At 34.6% G+C, this 24,457-nt stretch overlaps 1 long non-coding RNA gene across 2 annotated transcripts; it reads left to right on the top strand.

Moving 5' to 3' along the window:
* The first annotated feature begins 14,699 nt into the window (after nucleotides 1-14,699).
* Nucleotides 14,700-19,758, top strand: LOC105377523 (uncharacterized). Of its 2 annotated transcripts, none has more exons than XR_939422.1 (3): nucleotides 14,700-14,734; nucleotides 18,235-18,356; nucleotides 19,514-19,758. It is a non-coding gene; the product is annotated as an uncharacterized LOC105377523 (long non-coding RNA). The 2 variants fall into 2 exon arrangements; XR_939423.1 differs by lacking the exon at nucleotides 14,700-14,734 and adding an exon at nucleotides 15,088-15,130.
* The last annotated feature ends 4,699 nt before the right edge of the window (nucleotides 19,759-24,457 follow it).

Genomic DNA, 24,457 nt, shown 5'->3' with positions numbered 1-24,457 from the left:
GATGACCTCTATAAAAGCACCTTTTGTGAGTCAAAAAGGCAAAGACTGATTAAAATGGATTTAAACCCCATAAGGCTTGGTGTTGATCGCAAATCCTATAAAAACTCAAGAAAGATATTGTAGAAGGTAAGCTCAGGACCACATTTTCAGTATTTCTTCAGTGAACTCCTCTTTACCTTTTGTACATTCAGGGTCACAGTGCTCTTATGCTGCCCTTGGTTAGTTGGAAGAGCAAAGGGAACCTGCTGAGAATAGTCTTATTGTTGTGATAGATTAAGGTCTAGGATAAATTGAATGTTTTTGTTGTTGTTGTTGAGATGGAATCTTGCTCTGTTGCCCAGGCTGGAGTGCAGTGGTGCAATCTCAGCTCGCTGCAGTCTCTGCTTCCCGGGTTCAAGCAATTCTCCTGCCTCAGCCTCCCAAGTAGCTGGGACTACAGGTGCATGCCACCATGCCTGGCTAATTTTTGTATTTTCAGTAGAGACGAGGTTTCACCATGTTGGCCAGGATGGTCTTGATCTCCTGACTTCATGATCCATCTGCCTTGGCCTCCCAAAGTGCTGGGATTACAGGCGTGAGCCACCACTCCTGGCCGATAAATTGAACTGTTAATGGGAATATATGGAAAAGGCAATGGTTAATGCCTAAGAATAATATGCTCTTTGTAAATTTGTTTGAATTAATGAAATAATAATTTTTGTGCAGGAAACATTTCTGGAATTCTTCCATTCAGACCATGTAGGCAACCATCTGTTTCACTCTTGCAAGTGGACAAATTGATGATGCTGGAAAAGGAGGCATCTAAGTTGTTTGATTTTATTGCTAGTCTTACTTTAGTAGAGATAGTAAACAAAAACAAACTATGTATTTAAAAATATAAACCTATTTACGGCCATAAAACATACAGACTATTAAACTTGCTCAACTAATCTTTGAATTTTGCAGTATATATTTGAGTTCCCATTAAAAAAAGTTTCATCCTTTCAGCACATTTTGGTTTTGAATAAGTCTATTAACGTGGTAGAGGCGTTGTACTATTTACTAAATCATAGTATTTTAAAAACACAGAACTGTATTAGGTGCTGCCTTGCTAAACCTCAAGTAATTATACCCATGTTATGTAATCTCTTAATCAGTAATAACTTTTGTAAGTAGGGAGATTATCTGATGTCTTATGTAAGTATGAGTTAGTTGCAATTTAAGTTTGTTTTGTCTTATTTTGATTAGTTTATATACAATATCACACTTTGAGAACCAGAGAGAGAACATTTCCTTAGTTCATGAAGGGAAAGATATTAGACTACAATTGACTGTAAAGCAAAAACCACTCTGAATGGATAACACTTTCTGTTTCTCACTTTAATTACTGCTATTCTGCTTCACTCTTAACTTTCACAAAAGTACATCAAAATCAGTCAAATTGTGAAACAAGGCAGTAATCTGTTGTTTTCAACCAGCAAGTTAAGTTGTGCTCGTCCTCCCTCTCTCCATTCCATCTCCACATCCCATGACTCAAAATCAGATTTTAAATGTATCCCCAACTTGGCTAATTATCATTAGCTGTGGTAAAATGAATCTAACTTTGAGTGGAATTTGGTGTGCTCATTTCTAAGATCAAAAAAAATCATTTCATATAAATCCTATGTATTTTGTTAGCACAATGTAGAGGAACAGATCCTATCACTCTAAAGAAAGGGCAAAATACTAAGTGAAGGTGCAGGTATATGAAGGTCCCCATACAGTTTTGTCAATCAGTTTATCATTCATGGTGATCTCATTCCTGGCACAACCCTGTCTAATCCTTGAGGATTTGTCAAACTCTTTAATCCCTTTTCCTGATCGAGGTCTTCTGTTACTTCATTTTTTATTTTTATTTTTGAGTTGAAGTCTCCCTCTGTCGCCCAGGCTGGAGTGCAATGGTGTGATCTTGGGTCACTGCAACTTCTGCCTCCCAGGTTCAAGCGAATCTCTTTCCCCAGCCCCCCGAGTAGTTGGGACTACAGGCATGCGCCACCTCGCCTGGCTAATTTTTGCATTTTTAGTAGAGATGGGGGTTTCACCAGTTGGCCAGGCTGGTCTCAAACTCCTGACCTCGGGTGATCTGCCCGCCTTGGCCTCCCAAAGTGCTGGGATTATAGGCGTGAGCCACTGCGCCCCGTCTTCTGTTACTTTATATATTATTTATTACTTCTGCTTCATTATAGATCCCTTTGCGTTTATAGTTCTGTCAAACCATGTACCATCAAATTTGCTCCTATGTTTCTATAGAGAAAGCATAATATAATCAAACATCACTGGATTCCTTGGTGGTCAGAATTGGGGTTTTGTCTAGCTGTACATATAGATAGTTATATGACTTAGAGATGTTTCCTTAATCTTGCTGGGTCAGTTTTTCATCGATAAATAAGGGGAATTCACACTGACTAATAGTTTACTCACCACCACACAGTGGCCTCCACTCCCACCCCTATAACCCAAAAGAAATATTAAGAATAAACACTGAGTTGCAGACCTTAAATTTTGCTAAAAAAAAGAGGACCTCAAAAAGAGACTTACTATCACCATCATTTAATAAAGAGAAGGTAATTTAATTCCAGAAATTGCCAATAAGAAATCATTTTAGAGTAAAGTCTCATTTTCTAAGAAATTGCTGCTAGCTGTAATTTTTTCCCTTACACTAACTGGTATGATTTTGCCATGCATCAGCATTCATCTACAGACAGGTGTTTGGGAAGCACTAGTCCAGTCCAGTGGTTCTCAAAATTTGCAGGCATTAGCATAACCAGTAGGACTAGTTTAAATAGATTTAAGAGCCCCATCCACAAAATAAGTCTTCTTGGAGCCTGAGAATTTGCATTTCTAACATATGTCAGGTGATGCTGATGCTACTTGTTCAGAAACACAGTTTGAGAACCGTGGGTCTAGATAATTTCTAATATCCTTACCATACAGACTTTTATGAAGGTACTAATTCTTCTACGACTAAGTGTAAGCAAATTACAGATAACATAAATTGATATAAATGAATATCTTTTCCATCTACTGAAGATTTTTAAACACCAAGATGTTAAAAGCCAATTTATATAATATATCTAACTAGTATTACATAGTGAGAAAATTTGAGCAAAAAATATTTTTTGCCATGCAAGAATTACAAGGTATGCAGTATTTACACAAATAAAATTTATGATTATGTAAAAAGAATAACACCAAACAAAGAAAAGTGGGTTCCACAAAAATTCTCTTGTAAATATATTTTTAAAGTTCAGAAAATCAGAAATCAGAAAATATGACCACAAAGTGAGTCTTCTAAGGTCTTGTATGTACCATTGGTTTTGATTTAAATTTTGTATGTGATTTATATGAAAGGGAAATGGCTGCACAGAGCCTTCCATTTAATTTTAAACAAAGTGACTTTTTTTTGAAAGAACAATCTCACTATATTGAAAAGCATATTTTTTGAACTAGCAATATAGAAATGTTTCAGGATATAAATATTCTGTAATTACTTGCTTTCAAAACTAGACAAGGAGACAGTCAAGCATAATTAATAGTGTTGAAATATAACTGTAATGGTAGTGTGTAAATGCCGAAGGAAGAATATTTGACCCTAACATTCTAATCTCACAGATGTTTAACTTTATTCCCTATTCCCCGATCTTGGAAGCAGACTGAACAAGCCGAAGGAGGAAAATATCTACCTTTTAATATTCAGTGGTTAGCTTGACAACTGGTAATTGGTATTAACTGTTATTTCATTTGTAAAGTTAACTGATTTTTTTTAAAACAAGCAATTTTATTAACAGCAGTTAGTTTAAATGTATAATCATGGGCATTTCAGAACCATTGTTATTATACATGCAGATTGTTAAAAATGTCACTGTAATTGCTTTTTATGATTTGAACTACAATATCCATTCGTCAAGCAAATATATTACACACAACTTTCTGAGGGTTAGGAGTATGAAAAAAATTTCTTTTTCTTATTTATCATCTTTCCCTTTTCCCAGGTTTTATCATCTATGTGTATTTGTGCTTGACTTTAAAATTTTTTTTAAGCTCTACTTTTGCTGATTGTATTTTAGGGAAATGGTATCGGTAGATATTCACACGAGAGAATTAAAGAAAATTATGATACATAAAGGTTAGTTGCAATTTATGTTTTTGACAATCAATATACATTATAATTTTCCTTGTGGATCTAAGGCTTTGTGTGAAGAGCTGATAAATTTTACAACCCCCTTGCAGGAAATAATCAAGGGCAAGATACATTTTTTAATGGAGAAAAGCACAGCGTTAACCTTAAGCAGAGTTTTTACATTATAAAAAGACAAGAAAAAGAAAGAGTAAATACCAAGAAGGGACCTGTTATTATTCTTCATCACACTGACACACATAGCTGTAAAGTCAGGCTGCTTTGGAGGACATTGTCTTTTCTATTGATTAAAGGTTTCACCCATAAATTAGAGGATATTCTAGTTACCACCTCTAATATTTCAAAGGAGGTCTTCTGGTTAAAACCTGTGATCAAAAGTAGCCCCCAAACAGGAGCAACAACAACAAAAAACTGTTGAATGATTAGTTTAATTCAAGTGGGAAATAATAATTGTGTCAGAGGAGAAGAGAAGAAAGATTCAAGAGATACCCTGGATGTAGTGTTTACAAGATTTAGTAATCATCGAATATAAGGTAGCACAAAGTAGATGTGCGTAAACTCATGGCTCTGGGTGAAACTATATGGCTTTTATTCTATTAACAAAGACAGAATAATTCGGGTAGTTGAAATGCCAGTGAACATTTAGAAATAAATAGCCAGTAGCCAATTAAAAAGATAAATATAGAACTTAAGAGGAAATTTGAATGAGAGATACAGATTTGGATGCCCTCAGTTTACAAACTGCAAGCTGATAGTATAGTTGCAGATTTGATTATTAAAGGAGAGTGCATGAAATAATATGAGAACACAATTGGAGCAGATTTGAAGGGAACACTAATACTTTAAAGGAATTGAAAGAGAAACCATTCTATCTAATCTCTAAAGAAGAAGTAATAGCAGTACTTCAAAAAATCATCCAGAAAATACAGAGGGAGAGAACACTTCTCAACTTATTTTATAATACCAGTAATATCAAAGCCAGATAATTACAAGAAAGTAATGGGCTAATATCATTCATGAGTACAGATAAAAAACTTCTCAAATAAATATAAGTAAACCAAATTCAACAACACATAAAAATGATTATAAATCATAACCAAGTAGGATTTATCCCAGAAATTCAAGATTGGTTTAACATCAGAACATTAATTAATGCCATATGCTATATTAATAGAATAAATAGAAAAATGGGAATATCATTTGACAATATGCAACATCTATTCATGACAAAACTCAACAAATTAAGAACAAAAGGAAACTTTCTCAACCTGATAATTGGCATCTATGAAAACACTACAGCTAGCGTCATACTTAATGGTGAAAGGCTAAGTGTTTTTCCCCTAAGACTGGGACCTAGGAAGAAATATTCACTCTCACCACTCCAATTCAATATTCAACTGAAAGTTCTACCAGCACAATAAGGAAAGATAAAGAAACCAAAGTCATCTCAAATGGAAAGGAAAAAGTAAAACTGTCTTTATTTGCAGGTGACATGACTGTGTATGTAGACAGTCCTGAGTAATCCACAAAACCACTTCTAGAGCCAATAAACAAGTTCAGTAAGTTCACAGGATGTAAGAACAATGTGTAAAAATCAGTTGCATTTCTATATACTAGCAATTGAAATACTAAAGAACTCAATTCATATTAGCATCAAAAAGAACAAAATGAAGAAAAATAAATTTAACAAAAAAGTGTAAGATTTTGTACACTGAAAACTAAAAGTATTGTTGATAGAAAGTAATAAAATTCTAAATAAATCGAGACATCCTATGTAAATGGATTGAAGATTCAATATTGTTAAGAAAGGCGATCTCCATAAAAACTCCAGCACGCATTTTGCCGAAATTGATGTGCTTATCCTAAAATTTATATGGAAATGCAAAGGATCCAGAATAGCTTCAACAATTTTTAAAGAGAAGAATGATCATGAGAACTTATACTTCCTCACTTCAAAACTTACTATGATGCTAAAGGAATCAAGACAATGCAATATTAGCATAAGTATAAATATTGAATCTATGGAATAAAATTATGTATAAAAATTTTATCTTTAGGGTCAATTGATTTCCAACAAAGAAACCAAGGGAATTCAATAAAAAGGGTAGTCTATTTCAAAAATAGTGCAGGTATAATTGCCTGTTCATAGACAGGAAGATGAATTTATATTCTATTTCATATAATACTCACAAAAAATAACTTATAGTAAATTTTTGAACTAAAGATAAGAGTTTAAGTTATATATATATATTTAAAAAAACATAGATAATCTTTAAAACCTGAGTTAAGCCAAGAATTCTAAGTTAGGACACCAAAAGCATAATTAAAAACAATAAATGAAATAAACTTCATCAAAATTAAAAATGACATTTGACCTTCAAAATACGGTATTAAGAAAATGGAAAACCACAAACTTGTGTAGAAAATATTTGAAAATCAAATATGCAATAAAGGGCTTGTATACAGAATAAAATAAGACCCTGAGAACTGGATAAGGAAATGAACAACCCATTTTTAAAATGGGCAAAAGCTTTTAATAGACCCTTCATCAAAGAAGATAAAGTGCCCAATTAGCAAATGAAAAAAATTCATCATTATTATTAATTAGAATAGTGCAAGTTAAAAACCACAATGACGAATCACTTTATAGCCACTAAGATGTATATAGTAATAATTTATTGAAAGGAAAATAGCAAGGATGTGGAGACATTGGAATGCTTTTACATTGCTGGTGGGAATGTAAAGTAGTACAGTCTACTTGGGAAGAGTTCAGCAGTTTTAAAAAAATGATTAATGTAAAATTTACCTTACAACCCAGCAATTCTATGCCTCAGTCTCAACCCAAAAATTAATGAAAATATATGTCTACACAAAGACTTGTACCTGAGTGTTTATTTACAATAGGTATGCATACATGTATTTTTAGAGTACTCATTGTGTACACAATAAGTAGTGTACTTTTTCACACTAATTAATAATAATAAGTAGTAGTATTTACAATAACCAAAAAGTACAAAACAATCAAAATGTCGGTAAATTGGTGACTGAAAAAAATGTGGTACATCCATTCAATGGAATGCTATTCAGCAATAAAAAGGAATAAACTATTTGTACATGCTATTACATGGATTATCCTCAAAATTAAGAAGCCAAATTCAAAAAACTATATATTATATGTGTATTAGTCTGTTTTCTCACTGCTGATAAAGACATACTCGAGACTGGGAAGAAAAGGAGGTTTAATTGGACTTACAGTTACACAGGTGGCAGGAGAGGCCTCAGAATCATGACGGGAGGTGAAAGATACTTCTTACATGGTGGCAGCAACAGAGAATAAGGAAGAAGCAAAAGCGGAAACCTCCGATAAACACATCAGCTCTCATGAGACTTACTCACTATCACGAGAATAGCACAGGAAAGACTGGCCCCCATGATTCAGTTACCTCTCCCTGGGTCCCTGCATCAACACGTGGGAATTCTGGGAGATACAATTAAAGTTGAGATTTGGGTGGGGACACAGCCAAACCATATCATTCTGCCCCGGGCCCCTCCAAATCTCATGTCCTCACATTTAAAAACTAATCATGCCTTCCAAACAGTCCCCCAAAGTCTTAACTCATTTCAGCATTAACCAAAAGTTCACAGTCCAAAGTCTCATCTGAGATAAGGCAAGTCCCTTCCACCTATGAGCCTGTAAAATCAAAAGCAAGCTAGTTACTTCCTAGATACAATGGGAGTACAGGTATTGGGTAAATACAGCTGTCCCAAATGGGAGAATTTGGCCAAAATGAAAGGACTAAAGGCCCCATGCAAGTCTAAAATCCAGTGGGGTAGTCAAATTTTAAAGCTCCAAAATGATCTCCTTTGACTCCAGGTCTCACATCAAGGCCACACTGATGCAAGAGGTGGGTTCCCATGGTCTTGGGCAGCTATGCCCCTATGACTTGCAGGGTACAGTCTCCCTCCCGGCTTTCCTGGGCTGGCGTTGAGTGTCAGTAGCTTTTCCAGTCACACGGTGCAAGCTGTCAGTGGATCTACCATTCTGGGGTCTGGAGGGCGGTGGCCCTTTTCTCACAGCTCCACTAGGCAGTGCCTCAGTAGGGACTCTGCATGAGGGCTCTGACCCCACATTTCCCTTCCACACTGCCCTAGCAGAGGTTCTCAATGAGGGCCCTGACTGTGCAACAAACTTTTGCATGAGCATCCAGGCGTTTCCATACATTCTCTGAAATCTAAGCAGAGGTTTCTAAACCTCAATTCTTAACATTTGTGCACTGCAGGCTCAACACCACATGGAAGCTCCCAAGGCTTGGGTCTTCCACCCTCTGAAGCCACAGCCTGAGCTGTACATTGGCCCATTTCAGTCACTGCTGGAGCAGCTGGGACACAGGGCATCAAGTCCCTAGGCTGCACACATCATAGGTACCTTGGGCCCGGCCCACAAAACCAGTTTTTCCTCTTGAGTCTCCAGACCTGTGATGGGAGGGCCTGTCACGAAGGTCTCTGACATGCCCTAGAGACATTTTCCCCATGGTCTTGGGGATTAACATTAGGTGCTCCTTGCTACTTATGCAAATTTCTGCAGCTGGCTTGAATTTCTCCCCAGAAAATGGAATTTTCTTTTCTATTGCAAATTTTCTGAACTTTTATACTCTTTTTCCCTTTTAAAACTGAATTCCTTTAACAGTACCCAAGTCACCTCTTGAATGCTTTGCTGCTTAGAAATTTCTTCTGCCAGATACCCTAAATCATCTCTTTCAAGTTCAAAGTTCCGCAAATCTCTAGGGCAGGAACAAAATGCTGCCAGTCTCGTTGCTAAAACATAACAAGAGGCCGGGCATGGTGGCTCATGCCTGTAATCCCAGCACTTTGGGAGGCTGAGGCCAGCAGATCACAAGGTCAGGAGATGGAGACCAACCTGGCTAACATGATGAAACCCCGTCTCTACTAAAAAAATACAAAATTTAGCCAGGCATGGTGGTGGGTGCCTGTAGTCCCAGCTACTGGGGAGGCTGAGGCAGGAGAATGCTGTGAACCCAGGAGGTGGAGCTTGCAGTGAGCGAAATCGTGCCATTGCACTCCAGCCTGGGAGACAGAGCAAGACTCTGTCTCCAAAAAAAAAAAAAAAATCATAACAAGAGTCACCTTTGCTCCAGTTCCCAACAAGTTTCTCATCTCCATCTGAGACCACCTCAGCCTGGATTTTATTGTCCATATCGCTATCAATATTTTGGTCAAAGCCGTTCAACAAGATAGTAGGAAGTTCCAAACTTTCCCACATTTTCCTGTGTTCTTCTGAGCCCTTCAAACTGTTCCAATCTTTGTCTGTTACCCAGTTCCAAAGTCACTTCCACTTTTTCTGGTATCTTTTCAGCAAAGCCCCACTCCTGGTACCAATTTACTGCATTAGTCTGTTTTCACTCTGCTGATAAAGACACACCCAAGACTGGGAAAATAAAAGAGGTTTAATTGGACTTACAGTTCCACATGGCTGGGGAGGCCTCATAATCGTGGTGGGAGGTAAAAGGCACTTCTTACATGGTGGTGGCAAGAGAAAATGAGGAAGAAGCAAAAGTGGAAACCCCTGATAAACCCATCAGATCTCGTGAGACTTATTCACTATCATGAGAATAGCAAAGGAAAAACCAGCCCCCATGATTCAATTACCTCCCCCTGGGTCCCTCGCATAACATGTGGGAATTCTGGGAGATACAATTCAAGTTGAGATTTGGGTGGGGGCACAGCCAAACCATATCAATGTGATTCTATGTATAGATGATAGGGACAGGAGGCAGAGAAATTCCAGGCAGAAAAGGGCAGGTCCCTGGTGAAACCCCATCCTCAATCCCAAAAGCCTGAAACCACAGCCCAAAGTGAGAACTTACATCTCTGTTTTCCTGCTTGAATGTTGCCTTTTCCTAAACCATCCATCACCCACCCTGCCTGCAAAGCTGTACCTTGTAAAGACCCCAGACTCAGTTGGAGAGGAGAAACGACTACAGCTGGATGTCAGAGAGAAGTGGCTTGACTTCAGAGGAATAGCTTGACAAGGTAACTTCAGAGAATAACCCAGTTGGAGACAGCTGGACTTCAGGGGAAGATTGCCTACACCCCTGTCCCCTTTTTAGCTCCCCTTCTCCCTGTCAGCCACTTTCATCAGCAATAAAATCCCCTTATTTACCATCCTTCAATCGTTTCATGTAACCTCATTTTTCCAGGACACCAGACAAGAGCTCGGGAACCACAAGTGCTGATACAAAAAAGGTTATCACACTGGCCCTTTGCCCTCACTGGCGGAGGGCAGCTGCCTCACATGAAAAGGCAGAGGGCTCACTGAGCTGTTAACACTGAAGCTTTCTGTGAATGGCAGAGCTAAAAGACACACCCTCTAGGGCTTTGGGAGTCACAGGCACCCCATTTGGATGCTGCCATGGGGTGTGTAGGAGTTCCCTCCTGCCGGCGCTCTTTCTGGCTCCTGCACCTCCTCACCTATGCACTGCCCCCCTCATGGGGTGGATTGTAGTGGGTCTGAGTGAGTGGGGTTTGATCCTGCCAGTGCCAAAATGGCCAGCTGGTTCCAGCACTCATGCACTCCAGTTCCCACCTTGTTGACCTGCGCACTCCCTCCCACAAGGATTTGAGACCCACAGGCTGAGTAAACGAGGGCAAGCCCCACTCAAGTCCCACGAAGGGGTCAGGGAAATATCCTGCTTCATAGAGAGACTGAAAGATTAGGTTTTGTGTCCAAGGTGGGGGTAGGGAGGGAGAGAGGGTTAGGTAGGACACCAAAGGAAAAGCAACTTACCTCCCAGGGGCAGGTGGACGCTTTTTGTAGTGATAGAAATGTTCAAACACTGGATTGTGTTGATGGTTGTATAACTCCATTAATTTATTAAAAAGCATTCAATTGTATGCATTATTTTTGTCCGAAATGCAATTCAAAGCCAGAGAGACAATAAAAATCAAGGGAAAGAAGAGATGTTTCTTTTCCTTTATTGTGTTCCAAAGGCAAACATTCTCAAAACAGAATTCTGTGAGCATTATTACTGTATAAGTAATTTTGAAAGCATAAAGGGAAAGACATTTCATTAAACACAGCTGTAGGTGTATGTAACCCATTAAATCATATTAAAAATGCAACATATATGTAAAGTATAAATGCAGATAGCTTGAGGAGTTTCCCCTCATAGTAAGTGTAAAAAGGATAAAGCTGGCTGATAAATACATTTGTTATGTTATACCATATTTAATTCAAAAAAACCCTGCTGAATATAGATAAACTGAGTCTTTAAAATGTAAATCAGATATTTATTTTCAGTATAACTCTAAATGAGAATGACATACAATTTATTTAGCTGTAGAAATTCATTGAACTTGAAACCTCTTTATGGTATATGTGGGCCTCTTAATTATTTGTGGGTACATAGTACATGAATTCATATATTCAAAGAATTTAGATATCATGATTGGACACAGTGGCCCACCCCAATAAAGATTTAAAGAAAGCCACTGGCATTTAATAACATAAATAAATGAACAAAAAACATAATTTTAAACTAATTTAAACTTTAAAACTCAGTTCCTTTAAAACTCAGTTTTAAAGGAACAAATGTTTTCTTTTTCCCATCTGAACCCTCTGATAAGAAAAGCCTAGTTACTATAGTTGGTGAGTGTGTGTGTGTGTGTGTGTGTGTGTGAGGCACAAGGGGATGGTGGGTGGAGAGGGAGCATGAGAGCAGAATTGGAGGAAAAAAATTCAATACATAATTCCTCCTAAGAGATTTGTCTTAAGTGGTTTCTTGAGTACATTTTCCTTTACTGTTTTTCTCAATTATTGCTTGTGTGAGAAGCATGAACTCATCAGAGAAAAAAAATCCACTAAGAAAACCTGCAGACTCATTATGCAAAAACCTTGAAAAATGCTTCTATGATTTCTCCTTGATCATTAACAAATTATGATTATTTTAATAATAACAAATTATTATTATTATTATTTTTTGCAGAAATTCTTCATCAGTTGAAACAAAAATGTAGGTAGTTGCCAGATCAGCAAATAACTAATTGAATATTTAGAGGTTTTATTGCTATATTGTTCAGTTTTATAAAAAGGGCATTAGCTTCTACTTTGAATAAGAGGTTATTTAGCTTGATAGTGTAATAATTTTTGACTCTTAACATTGTAACACTGTATTTTTAGGCATGTAAAGAGCAAAGGCTGGACATATACAGACAATTTAATTAAATCGAACCTAATAGTGAAATATTACAAATACTTTTTCACATGAATGTTTTATTTTTGTGAAGATCTGGTACAATTCTGCATGTAGTGGTTTCTACCTTTTTCTTTAAAAAAGTGAAGTTAATTAACATCTGTTTTCCACTGATAACATTAAGAAAATATGGTTTATAATTAAGGTGTTTTTAAAAGAGTGGGAGGAGAGGATACAGATTCCAAAACTATCATTATGTTAGATTGATTGCTAAATCCAGTTTTTAACTGTGAAATTAAAGGTAACATAAGCCATGATATATCAAACACTATAGCCATGAATATTTTCTTTCCAATTCCTATCACTACATCTATATTATGCCTTCTGTTGAAATAATAAAATATTAACTTTATCCTTGAGATTTTATCTTCTCAACTTTCCAATATTTGCTACATGTTACCAACTATTTGCTATACACATATGATAGTTATGTCTTTATTTTTTATTTCTATAATTTGGATATTATTTTTAATTATTCTACTTAATTTTGTTGTTTAGATAATTAATATAAAAGTTCTAAATTTTTACTTTAATGTGCATTTATATACACACACATACATGTACAAATATATATTGTATTGAGGTGAGAATATTTACCATGACATCTGCTCCTTTAAGAAATTTTAAGTGCACAATAAAATATTGCTAACAATAGGCATGATGGTGAACAGGAGATTGCTCTACCTTATTTATCTTGCATAACTTGGATATTATCTTTTTACTATTTTTCATAGCAGTAATTGTTTGTGAAAGAAAATAAATTTTTTGGAGTAATAACTATGATTTTAGAGCACTGACTAGCCTACTAAGAATTTTGATTTTTGTTTCAGAGATTTACAAGGGCCCTTATAATAATAACCTCCAGAAAAATGCTTCTTTTATAGCAAAAGACTTAGGCTAAATTAATTTCATAATAGATCATGAAAATAACATTTTAAAAAGTATTTTATTTACCAATATACAGAATGCGTGCCCGCTTCTGAATTGTAGCACGAAAATTTTTCAGTGTTTACCTTTGCTCTACTCTTAGAAATTAAGGTTAATTATGGATTATCAAAATATAAATAGAATAACAACATTTGAAATAATATTTAGATCAATAAATATTGGAGACTCAATTGGGGAGGATGTGAGGGGAGTGAGGAATAAAAGAAACTACCTATCGGGTACAATGTATGCTACTTTTTGTTGGTTGTTCTAGTATGATACATGGTTGAAAGGAAGAAAAAGATCAGAGATGAATTTTTGGCCATTTATTATGTTTTAAAAATAATTGAGATATAATATTTAGGTTTTTTTGGGACAAGTTCTATTAAATAAATAAAACCTTTTTATATGTTTTTCCAAAATTACACTGTAAAATTTAAATTTTCAGTCTCTAAGAACAGTAAAAAAATACTTTCCTATGCATGAATTCTGGGTGTAAATTTCATTTGAAGTGTGCTTTTTCAAGAGCAGTTTACTTGTAATATTTTCAGAGCATAACTTTGTCCTCAGATTCTGGGGCACCTTGCTGTATACCTCTGTAATAAAATGATAAAAGAAATTTTCTAGGGAAATCTACTTACTATTTTATGTATGATTTTATGATAAAGTTTTAGAAGCTAAATTACACACACACGCACGCATGCACGCACACACATAAACCGAATGGATTTTTCTAAAGGAAACAATCCATTAGGGAATTTGTATTAAACATTGGAAGTTTTGCATTTTGTGGATGTGGTAGATTTTAATTTTTGGAAATAATCTGATAGTGATTGTCAATTTAATATAAAATTATTGGTATGTTTATTTACAAGTCTAAAGGTATTTTCCTTTTTTTGTTGAGTTTCCAATGTTTACTATACTGTTTTACATGCCTTTGTGTACCTATAGCTTAGCTCCACTTGTAAGTGAGAACATGCAGTATTTGGCTTTGATTCCTTCACTTGGAATAATGGCCTCCAGTTCCATCCAAGTGCTGCAAAGTACATTATTTTATTCTTTTTTTAAATGGCTGAACAGTATTCCATGGTGTATTTGTGTGTGTGTGTGTGTGTGTGTGTGTATAAAACCACATTTTCTTTATCCACTCATCAGTTGATGGGCACTTAGGTTGATTCCATAGCTTTGTAATTGTGAATTGTGATGCAATAAACATACACATGCAAGTGTCTTTTTCATACAGTGACTTCTTTTCCTTTGAGTAGATAGTAGTGGGATTGCTGGATGAAATAGTAGATCTGCTTTTAGTTATTTGAGAAATCTCCATACTGTTTTCCACAGAGGCTGTACTGATACTGATTTACATTCCTACCAGCAGTGTGTAAGTATTCCTTTCTTCAGCACATCCACGCCAACATCTATTGTTTTTTGACTATTTAATAGTGACTATTCCGGCTGGGGCAAAGCGATATCTCACTGTCATATTAATTTGTATTTTCCTAATGATTAGTGATGCTGAGCACTGTTTCGTATGTTTGTTGGCCATTTGTACATTTTTGGAGAAATTTCTATTCGTGTTTTTGCCCACCTTTTGATGGAATTATTATTTTTTCTTGCTTATATGTTTGACCTCTTTTTTACCTCTTTTAAGTATTGTAATGCATTAAGACATTGTCTAAACATGCCAGGTCCTTCAGGGATATACCCTTGAAATGTTTTCACTTTGCAGGCACCTATTCATTCTTCAAGATTTAGCTAATGTGCTTCTTCCTCTGAGGTAGGTTGAGCATTAACACAGAAAAATTTTAAAATAAATAGATTTAATTTATTATAGAAAAATAAGAAACTAATTTATGTTGTTAATAATAGTATTTTAAGTTTTGAAAGTTATCATTTCTTATCATATCCATAAAATAATTATAGTTATTTTTAAATTCTAATGAGAGTCATCATCTTTAAATAAAGCATTGAGTATGCTATGTGGATAATATGCATTTTATATCATGATATTTATTTCCCATTATATTTTGTTAGTGTTTCTGCTGATGTTTTTCATATCTGTTATAAAAATTCTCAATACTCACCTTTAATGAGATAATATCAATTAATATGGTTGTCTTACTTAGATGTATATCATTACATTTATATTCTATAATTCTCAAAATCTTTTATTTCTCAATGATGCAATATCTAATTAGCAATTTTCAACACTTCACTGTCAGCTTAGCATTATATTTCAAAGCAATTTTGATAATTGGATGCATAAAATTCACTGCTGGCTCATAAATTATTGAAGAAAGAACATTTTGAAAATGAAAATTGTACAATGACATGTACTTTGCAAATTAGAATTTTAAGCTCTTGTAGTAAATTAGTGAGTATAAATCACATTTTGGTAACATGCTTACATCTGTAATATAGAGGTGGTATTTCTTTTAATAATTTAAGGATTTATGTAAAATATTTTTTAAAACAGGCAGATATTTTATTTTACACATTATTTTTAAAATTAATTGCTTGGTTTTAAAGTGATTACGATTTCATAGTAAAACAGAATTTTTGAGAACATGTAAGTTTATTATTATCACAGTTAAATGTGAGGAAAAAGGTTATTCTCATCATAACTAAGGTAATATATACACACACCTATTATATATTAAGGTAATATATTATATATTTTATATATATAATACACATATACACACATGAATCTATTATTTCAAGCTTGCAATGTGTTTGGTCTAAAAGACTTGATAATTTCTTGTTGAAACAAATATATATATTTTTGGTGGGGGACAGTTTTTTTTTAATATAATTTCAATTGTTTAGCAAAATTATAAGAGTAATATAAAGAATTTTCACCTAACCTTTGCTCAGTGTCATTTGTTAGTTTTTGTCCCATTTGCTTTCACTTTTGCTCACTTTTTCTCACTTTGATTCTCTTGTTTCTCACGTTCTCTTTCTCTTGTCCTCTATTTTTCACACAAACATAAATAAATGTACACATACACTTGTGTCATTTGAGACTACATAATTTGAAAGTAAATTGCATTCATCAAAACATGCCGGTTTATCCCTAAATATTTAATTCTTAGTTAGCTAAGGACAAAGAAAATTTTCTTTCTCAATGACAGTACATCTATATAAATTAGGAAATTTAATGTCATACATTATATAATCTACATTTCATACTAAAATTTTTCCAATTATCCCACTGGTGTCATTTATGGCTATTTTGTTCTCAAATCTAATCAGGAATCATGCATTGATTTCAGTTGTAATGTCACTCTCCTTTTATCTGAAAAAAAAATTTATTGAGTTTTTTTTTGTTTTATGACCTTGACCTGTTGAAGATACAGGCCAATTATTTCATAAATTTTTTAAATATGTTTTTGTCTGAGGGTTTGTCATGATTATGCCAATGTTAATCACTTTTGTGAGGAGCACAGAAAAGGAATACTGTTTTCTTCACTTTGTGTTGTACCAGTAGGCACGCGGTTTCAGAATTCGGACTGGAACTGCAGTTTTTTTTTTTTTTTTTTGGCTCTCCTGGGATATAATCTTCTATTGGTTCCATTTCTCTGGAAGACCCTGACTAATATAGTGGGTATGGAGTATATGTAATCCTTGATAATATTTAACAGAAAACAGATTAAGGTACATTCAAAGGAAAACCAATGGTATGTACAGAAGTCTTCAAACGAATTCAAGAATTGCTAAAGGATAATGAGAGACTTCGTTCAGAGAGAAGTAGGCCAAAAAGAGAAATGATAGCTTTCAATATTGAGAGAAGTGTCATGAAGAAAATGGCATCTATTATTTGATATTGTATATTTGACTGGTTGAAAGAGAGAACAGATTTGTTCTGAATTGTGAGCCAGCATAAGGTATGACAGTACAGGTTACAGGAAGACAGGGATACATTCCTAATCATTGAACTCATATTGTTTTATTATAAAGAAATAGGCTTCCTGGTGTTGGAGTGCTTAAATAAGAAACAGATAAAAATATCTCAGAAAAAGTTAAAAAATTAAAATAATTGCTTTTCTAAAAATTCCCCAGCAATATAATGTAATGAGTCTCTATTCAAATAGATTTGAAGGTACAGTAGTTTGTATCTTATTTTTCATTTTCTTTGAGACAAGATCTCACTGTGTCACCCAGGCTGGAGTACAGTGGCACAATTTCAGCTCACTGTAGCCTCAACCTCTCGAGCTCAGGTAATTCTCCCATTTGAGCTTCCTAGCAGCTGCAACTACAGTAGTGTGCCACCAGGCCCAGATAAATTTTTGTGTTTTGTAGAGACTGGGTTTTGTCATGTTGCCCAGACTGGAGTTTGTATCTTTGACCTTGCTTTTTTGTTTAGACTATCCTCAACTATGATTGAACTTATCATTTTCTTCTAAATATATTGATATTTGTTTCTGAATGCAATGAATCTATGATTATATATTATTATTTTGACATTTTATACCTGTAAGACAATATGGATAATAAACTTTTGCTGCATTTTTTTATTTTAATGAAAAATAGAACATATACAGATAATTTCACCTGCAAGCAAATTTGCAACCTGCTTCTATAGATTAAAGGGAATGGTGATAGTTATAAATTATTTGTGGTCCTAAATACTATCATAAGTTTTAGATTTATCACTTGTACATCTTCTTGAAATAAAGCAATACCAAATTCAGCATTTTGCACAGGTATAAATAATATTTAATATAACTGCACAAAACTTTAGATTTCTACTAAAATAAAAAAATTCAAAACAGTTTTTACTTTTGTTTGGAATGAACTACAGGCACTTCTGTTGATTCTGTCATTTTTTCCTTCATTTAATAATTGTAATTTATTTATTTATTTATTTGTTTATTTGAGATGGAGTTTTGCTCTGTCGCCCAGGCTGGAGTACAATGGTTCCATCTCTGCTCGCCTCGACCTCTGCTTCCTGGGTTCAAGCAATTCTCCTGCCTCAGCCTCCCAAGTAGCTGGGATTACAGGTATGCACCACCACACCCAGCTAATGTTATGTATTTTTAGTAAAGACAGCGTTTCACCGTGTTGGCCAGGCTGGTCTCAAACTCCTAACTTTGTGATCAGCCCACCTTGACCTCCCAAAGTGCTGGGATTACAGGTGGGATCCACCGCGCCTGGCTGCTGTAATTTAATTTTTAGAGTTAGAACAAATCCTAGAAGTTACCTAGATGATCAATATTTTTTATTTTGAAACTGAGAAAAATTTGATTAACTTGACTGAGTTTGCAAAATTATTTTCCCAATGCCATTGAAAGTGGAATTAGTAAGCAGCCTATTTTCTCTATTATTCTGCGCTGACTCTGCCCAATGAAATACAGGTGTTGTCTTATGGGCTGGCTTATACATCAGTTACCCCCTACAAGCCTGCCTTTACTTAGGTCCACATCTCTGTCTATAGATTCCTTTTCATTTACAAGCAGGAAACATAATCACTTATTATTTTCTACTTGAAAACCAAATCACCAACAGATATCAATGATATCTAACTTTAATTGTTTGAACTGGATTTGGTCCTTCAGTTTCTAAATTGATGAAAGTTTGTTTAACTTCAGGTTTTAAGGTGGCTTGTGGTTTATTTACCCTGTTATTAAAAATATCACAGATGTATTCCTATGGTTCAAGATTCTTACTTCACTCAAAGCTAATCACTTGCCCAACCTCACCTACTGTAAGTGCTAATATATTACTAATAGATGATAAGATGTACTCAGAAATGTTTGTGCTCAAGAGATTTTCATTTTACAGTGTTAACCTTTTTTCTTTCTCTGTCTACTTTGAAAGCTGTAACTCATATTTGAGTTTCTTTTCTTAACATTATCACAGATTTTGTGCTTGAACACATCTTTTAGCTGTTAAAACTCAGTTTTTCTTTGAGTTTAATGCAAAACTGACAAAATAATCTTAAATGTTTAGTGAAATTATTGCCAGATTGTAAATCCTTATGGAGTTATGCTAGTGAAGACAAAAACATTTCAACATTTGTCTTAGATGTTTGCTAATGAAGACAGCCTTTTAAATTTGCATCATTTCAACTCTCTCTTATTCTTTAAAATACATATTCAGCTGAAGAAAAACACAGTAGTGTTCACATTCCAACAACTTTTATTTTTTTCCCCAACAGACTATGCATGGAAAACAGAGTCCTGTGTTGCCAACATTGGGAAAATGTTCCTTCCGAGGTGCTCTGCAAGCCTTCTGTTTACCACGAACTTGCTTAAACACATTCAAAATTTCATACTCAAGATTTTTCTCAAAGCAGAGAAAATCTGTTAGTAGCAGAATTAGAATTGTCATGAATGATATGTTGTTATTATAGTGTACAATATGAAGATTTTTTCTTCTGAAAATACCATGTAATACTTACCATTCTTATTTGTTTATTTATTTATTTATTTATTTATTTATTTATTTATTTATTTATTTATTTTTGAGACAGAGTCTCGCTCTGTTGCCCAGGCTGGAGTGCAGTGGCGAGATCTCGGCTCACTGCAAGCTCCACCTCCTGGGTTCACGCCATTCTCCTGCCTCAGCCTCCCGAGTAGCTGGGACTACAGGCGCCCGCCACCACGCCTGGATAATTTTTTGTATTTTTAGTAGAGCCGAGGTTTCACCGTGTTAGCGAGGATGGTCTCGATCTCCTGACCTCGTGATCTGCCTGCCTTGGCCTCCCAAAGTGCTGGGATTACAGGCGTGAGCCACCGCGCCTGGCCCTTACCATTATTTTTAAAATAAAGAACATTTTATTTTTTCATTGCTCTCATAAATTAATACGAAACTAATCATTGAAATGTTTTAAAATGCATTTTCATATCTCTGTGGTACATAATGTGTTATTAAATGTTTTGTAGCAATAGCTAGAACCTGAATAATTTATTTTATTGTATTATGAGAAATTTTTTATTTCTGATGACTTATACATTTCCTAGAGAAATTCACCTAATTTTAAGGATCCCATACCATTGTCCTTCTCACTGTTAATATTGTTCCTAATGACTCCTTATATTACACCAGTAAGAATGTTTACATGTGATATATTTTAGGGCTTTCTCATAATTCTATGAGATCAGGGGTATTATGCTAGGTTGAAAAACCTTAGGAACAAAGTTTTTGTGATTCGTGGACCCATTAACGAACTTTAACTGTCAGTCAAGTTTGATTCAGGAAGGACATGATTGAAGTAATGAGATTAATTTGCTGGATGCTTATATAACACAATTTAGAAGCTTGGAAACTAGAGAGATTATACAGGTCTTTCTGTTCCTGCAGACTCGGGTATCCATTTGTGTCAGATTGTTGCCTCATGGTATGAAAAAGGAGAGCCATTAAATGTAAATAAACATTTATATTTTGATGATGAGATAAGTGTTGGCCAGGTAAAATTTGTAATTGAAATGTCATGCTTAAACTCATGTTTCTGTCCATGAATATTCCTCATGCAGAAATTATTCTGTGCTAAAAAACATTGGATAAAATAAATGAAACATCTGGTTTCATGCATTGGCACAAAAGCCAACACAGGATTGAAAATCTTGAGAAAAAGGACATAAATGAGTGGAGCCTTAAAATTGCCAGGGGCTTATTTTATTTTATTTTATTTTTATAGATGAAGTATTGCTCTGTCACCCAGGCTGGAGTGCAGTGGCATGATCTCGGCTCACTGCAACCTCCACCTCCTGGGCTCAAGCAATTCTCCTGCCTCAGCCTCCTGGGTAGCTGGGATTACAGGCGCCCACCATCACACTCGGCTAATTTTTTGTACTTTAATAGAGACGGGGTTTCACCATGTTGGCCAGGCTGGTCTCAAACTACTGACCTCAGGTGATCCACCTGCCTTGGCCTCCCAAAGTGCTGGGATTATAGGTGTGAGCCACTGCGCCTGGTGGCCCTGGACTTCTTAACTCATACTTTCCAGGCCACAGTAGAAGGGAGAACAGAAGCAGAGCAAGGCAATCTCTCATGGTGAGACAAAGAATGGAGCTGTGGAAAGCTGAGGCAGCTAAAATTTGCAGGGAAGAATATCATAGTGGAGATAACTATGAAGAAAAAAGAGCTCGAGAAATCAGGATAGGAATCCAGTTCAGTCTTTTACTATTTATTGATCTATACCTGCAGAACTCCAGGGATCTAAACAAGAACAACTCTTGGAGAGTTGTAAATTGAAGAATTCCCAGTGCTCACACAGGGTTGGGAATTATGTGCATTCTCTTCAGCTAAGTAGGTGACTGCCTTAAATACTAGACATTATATATGCAATATCAAGCATCTGATACAAAATTACTATGGAAATTATCAAATGTGATCCATAACCCAGGAAGGAAGAAAATCCATTAATAGGAAAAGACCTATAAACAACAGAACAACAGAGATGATAGATTTACTGACAAGAATTTAGCTATTATAAATATAATAAATATGCTCAAGAATACAGAGGGAAAAACATAATTAGAAGAGACATGGAATATGTAGAAATGAAAAAAGATAACTTTTCCACATGAAAAATGTAATATCTGAAATGAAAATTTCAATCAGTGAGCATGAGATAATGTGACACTGAAGAAAAAACAAACAAACAAAAAAAAGATACCACTGAACTTAAAGTCATAGGACCAGACATCATTCAGGGCAATGTACAGAGATTTAAAAAAAGATGAAGAAAATGAACAGTCTTAGTTACTTATGGAACAATATTATGCAGTCCGGCATACGTGCAATTGCAGTTCTAGAAGGAGAGGAGTGAGTCAGTCAGTGCAGAAAACAATTTGAAGACATAATTTTGATAGACACCAATAATCTACAAATAATCACAGATATGACTATAGCAAGGCACATTTTAATACATTTTCTGAAATGCAGGAATAATGAAATATAAAGTTAAATTTAAAAGAAGCCAGAGAGAAAAGAAACAATACAAACAAGGAAACAAAGTTCAGGGTATCTTCAGATTTCTCATCAAAACAATGTAGCCCAATAATAGCAGAAGAGCATCCTTAAAGTGCTATAGGACAAAACTAAAATACATCAAAGTAGAATTATTTAGTATAAATATCATTTAAAATAAACATTAAATAAAAGCATTTACAAAAATAAAAGCTGTGAGAATTAATTGCGGTAAGTTTAAAGTAAAATATGAGTATACTTTACAAACCTACTAAAATTCAGAAAACTACAACAATTGTGTTTATATAAGCCAAAGTGAACTCTAGGTCAAAGTATAATATCAAGGACAAAGAAAAGCATTTATAATAATGGAAGTATAACATGCCTAATTATAGATCAATATATGAAGAAAAATTATTTTTAAAAAGGTATAGACATATCCACAGTTTCAGATAAAGACTTCAACATTCATCTGTCAGTAATTTTATCTAGTAAACTAGTCTGAAATACTTTAGAATAAAACATACTTGAACAATCTATCAACAGTTTTGAACATTAGACTAAACAATTTCAGGATACTCATGTTTTCTAAGTAGATATGAAATAGTCACCAAAATACATTACATGCTGGGCACAAAAGAAGTATTAGATTTCAACTATTGAATTTATACAGAATAAGTTTGTTTTGTAATCACAATGAATTTAAATAAATCGAGAAATTATTTGGAAAATCATGAAAATCTGTAAACAGAGAATACTATTCTAAGTAAAAACAGAGTTAAGAAGGCATTACAATGATAATTTGAGCCTATATTTCCAACCAAACAAAAGAAAAATATAATACATCATAATTTCTAGGATAAGTTAGCTCAGTGTTTAGAGATAAATGGGTGGTTTTAAATGCTTATACTAGAAAATAGGAAATTTCTGAGATCAAGTAAGTGTCCACCTTGAAAAGATAGAATAAGAACAGATTAAAACTATAGTAAGTAGAGGACAAAAATAATTTAGGAAGGAGATGAGTGTAATGGCCTCCAGTTCCATCTAAGTCCCTGCCAAGGACATGATCTCATTCTTTTTTTTTTTTTACAGCTGCTTAGTATTCCATGGTGTATATATATTATACTACATTTTCTTTATCCAGTCTATCATTGATGGGCATTTGGGTTGATTCCATGTCTTTGCTATTGTGAATAGTGTTGCAAAGAACATACATGTGCATGTGCCTTTATAATAGAATAATTTCTATTCCTTTGGATATACACCCATTAATGAGACTGCGGGGTCAAATGGTAGTTCTTTTTTTAGCTCTTTGAAGTATTGCCACACTGTTTTCCACAATGGTTAAACTAATTTACACTCCCATCAACAGTGTGTAAGTGTTCCCTTTTCCCTGCAACCTTCCCAGCATCTATTTTTTTAGACTTTTTAATAATAGCCATTCATTTTCAACCACGAAAATGGGAAATGGAGTTAACATTTTAGCTCCATTTTCTCAAGAAATTTTAGCTCAATTTCTTGAGAGAAAAATGGCTTTCAGCTCCATGTCTTGAGAAAAAAAGGCTTTTTCGCTTTATTTCTTGAGGAAAAAAAACCTAACAATTTCTTGAGAACCAAACCAAATAACAATGTTAGAAGAAAATAAAGCTTCAGAACAATACACTTAAGCACTGATGCAAAAATTTTTTTGAAAATGTTAGCAAATAGAATCTAGCAATATTCCCTAGCCATGTAGGATTTTTTTTTTCATGAATGCATGGTTGGTTTAACATTACAAAATCAATAAATTCAATTGGCCCAATATACATTTCAAATTGAGAAGCAAAGACATTTGATTATCTCACTACATACAGATAAAAACTTTGATATAATTCAGCATCAGTTTAGGATAAAATCTCTCAACTACCTAACATAGAAGAGGATTTCAACAGAATAAAGAGCTGATGAAAACAAGGAAATATTCTAAAAGATGAAATACTGAATATCTCATTCTTAAGATCAGGAAAAAGACTGATGCTGTTCTCACCACTCTATGCATGTTTTTACTGGAGTGCCTACCTGGTACATCAAGGCAAATAAAGGAAACAAAATAAGGCATAAAGATTAAAAATGAATTAGTGAAACTGTTTCTATTCTTATAAGGCTGTATTGAGTATTTAGAAAAATGAAGGAATCTACAAAAAGCTAA

The sequence above is a fragment of the Homo sapiens genome, chromosome 4, assembly GCF_000001405.40.
Source record: "Homo sapiens chromosome 4, GRCh38.p14 Primary Assembly".
NCBI lineage: Eukaryota > Metazoa > Chordata > Mammalia > Primates > Hominidae > Homo > Homo sapiens.
Note: the sequence above shows the minus strand (reverse complement) of the source record. Positions and strands in the feature narration are given on the sequence as shown.